Source organism: Homo sapiens, chromosome 13 (assembly GCF_000001405.40).
Source record: "Homo sapiens chromosome 13, GRCh38.p14 Primary Assembly".
Taxonomy (NCBI): Eukaryota; Metazoa; Chordata; class Mammalia; order Primates; family Hominidae; genus Homo; species Homo sapiens.
Genome location: NC_000013.11, coordinates 53,276,048 through 53,278,802, shown reverse-complemented (window position 1 = coordinate 53,278,802; position 2,755 = coordinate 53,276,048). Strand labels below are relative to the sequence as shown.

At 40.0% G+C, this 2,755-nt stretch overlaps 1 annotated feature.

The window, feature by feature from the left end:
• Positions 1,783-2,755: an enhancer, noted in NCBI's record as "OCT4-NANOG hESC enhancer chr13:53850183-53851155 (GRCh37/hg19 assembly coordinates)". NCBI's record gives its function as "activates a minimal SCP1, AML or CMV promoter by ChIP-STARR-seq in naive H9 embryonic stem cells {active_cell/tissue: H9 hESC(naive)}" and the evidence as "EXISTENCE:reporter gene assay evidence [ECO:0000049][PMID:30033119]".

Genomic DNA, 2,755 nt, shown 5'->3' with positions numbered 1-2,755 from the left:
CTGCGTCCTCACCCAAATCTCATGTCAAATTGTAATCCCCAATGTTGGAGGTGGGGCCTGGTGGGAGATGATTGGATCATGGGGGTGGAGTTCTCATGAATGGGTTAGCACCATTCCCTAGGTGCTGTTCTCATGATAGTGAGTTTGATGGTTAATATTGAGTGTCAACTTGATTGGATTGAGTCAGTGGACTGGGAGAGGCAGGCCCACCCTTAATCTGTGTGGGCACCATCTAATCAGCTGCCAGCACAGCTAGGATAAAAGCAGACAGAGGAACGTGGAAGAACTACACTAGCTTAGTCTTCCAGCCTACATCATTCTCCCATGCTGGATGCTTCCTGCCCTCAAACATCAGACTCCAGGTTCTTCAGCTTTGGGACTCCTGAACCTCCAACCACAGACTGAAGGCTGCACTGTTGGCTTTCCTACTTTTGAGGTTTGGAGACTTGGACTGGCTGGCTTCCTTGCTCCTCAGCTTGCAGATGGCCTATTATGGGACCTCGCCTTGTAATCATGTGAGTCAATACTTCCTAATAAACTCCCCTTTATATACACATCTATCCTATGTGTTCTGTCCCTCTAGAGAATCCTGACTAATACAGTGAGTGAGTTATCATGAGATCTGGTTGTTTAAAAGTATGTAGCACCTCCCCCATCTCTTTCTCTTCCTCCTACTCCAGCATGTAAGACATGCGTGCCTCCCCTTCACCTTCTGCCATAATAGTAAGTTTCCTGAGGCCTCCCCAGAAGCAGATGCCAGCATTATGCTTCCTGTACAGTCTGTGGAACTGTCAGCCAATTAGATCTCTTTTTTTATAAATTACCCAGTCTCAGTTATTTCTTTGTAACAGTGTGAGAATAGACTAATACAATTGGTTATCAAAAAATTGAGAAAATCCCGGCTAAAACGGGTCACAAAATAGTACAATGTCAAAAAGAGGTAGGAGAGTGCTGAAAATAAAATGGATAAATAATAAGCATGTGCCGACAGAATATTCTGAGCCTTTGCTCTTATATGTAACAGGGTATATGCTTGTGCAATAATTACCAAGTTGGTTCTTACCCCACTTTACAAAATAGAGATCTTTTCTATCTTCATGGTGTACCACTATTAATAATAATAGCTAATACATAGATGATGCCGACCATGTGCCAATGTTCTGAGTACTTGCATTACTAATTCATTTAATCCTCTTAAAAATTCAATGATTTATTTCCATTTTACAGATGAGAAAACTGAGGCACAGAGAGGTTACTAGCAAGGTGACTTGTCATTCAGATAGTACATGGTAAAGTCAAATTTCAAAGCCAGCCAATATCTGGTTTCACAACCCACACTATTCACCACCATAATATGCTGCTTCTGAGTATTTATTGAATTATATTGATTTATAAATATATTTTCCCTTGGAAAGAAAACATTGTATTAATATAGTTTAACTAACAGGTAATATAATCCAGGGGTTGGCATGCTTCTTTAATAAAGGATCGTATAATAAATATTTTAAATTTTGAGATCCATACCATCTCCCTTGCAGCTACTCAACTCTGCCACAGGAGAGGGAAAATCACCATAGACAGTGTGAAAATGAATACGCAAGGCTGAATGCCAATAAAACTTTATTTACAAAACAGGGAGGGGCCAATTTGGCCCACAGATCTAAGTTTTATGGCTTCTTGACATAAACAATTTCAAAGGGAGATACACAACTTGCGACTATATTACAGTTATGTTTGTGTTGTCCCTAAATTACAAAGCTCAGAAATATAGTGTCAGAAATGTCTGTGAATTGAAAGTCCCGGATTTTACCTAAACATCCTGCATCATTTCATTTGAACTTTCATGCCAAATCCTAGAGAAATCTCATCAGATAGCTCAGCAGGAGAGCATAAGCATGCTGATCCAAATGTCTTAGAGAAAACATACATTTAAAAAAAAAATTCATCCCCAACAAGATGGCCAAATTTTATAGTCTCTTAGTATCTTAAATGAGTTTTCCGACGTTTACCTACAGTCCTCTGAAAGCAGTCTCAAACTCGAAAGCCTTTACCTCAAAGCTGTTCACCACCCCATTGATGTGGCCACGCTATGCCACATTTTCTTAGCCTCATTCAGGATCTTATCCTGATATAAAGGAAAAGTTTCACTGGATACTTATTACGAAAGGCAGGGAAGACTTCACTAAGACTATTACAACAGGGGAGGAGTCAAACTATTGTAATAGGAGAGAGAGATTAAGCTCAGCTCCACTGAAACAAAAGGTGGGAAGATTTTTAAGCACAGCTTTGAGCTAATGGAAAGGTGGAACATTAGCAGGGAGGGTGGTCTATGTGATTGAGTCATCTTTATTTGCCAAATGTTAACGAAGTCAGGTTCCTACTTTCCCATAGAGACAGGAAAAGTAAGGCCCTATCTTTCCTGATGATTACATTTCAAAGGGATGGCTTCCAGGTCTTTGAGAAAGGCACTCCTAGGTTGTAGAAGATTTACATCTCAAAGAGGCACAGAAAGAATTTACAACTGAAAGTTTTCTAAAATAAAAAGAGGTTGGGGCCCATAGTCAGGAAAAAGCTTATCTAAAATTGAGTCAAGCTAAGGGGAATGTTAAGGTTGTCTTGGTCACTTGTAGGGAAGCCTCAGAACCTTCCAGTAAGCTTTCTCCCCTAAAAACAGACACACAATCTGGAGTCCTTTCACTCTGCCCACAACACTTCCTTTAAAATCATACTTTATCATCTCTGTCTTTCACATCCT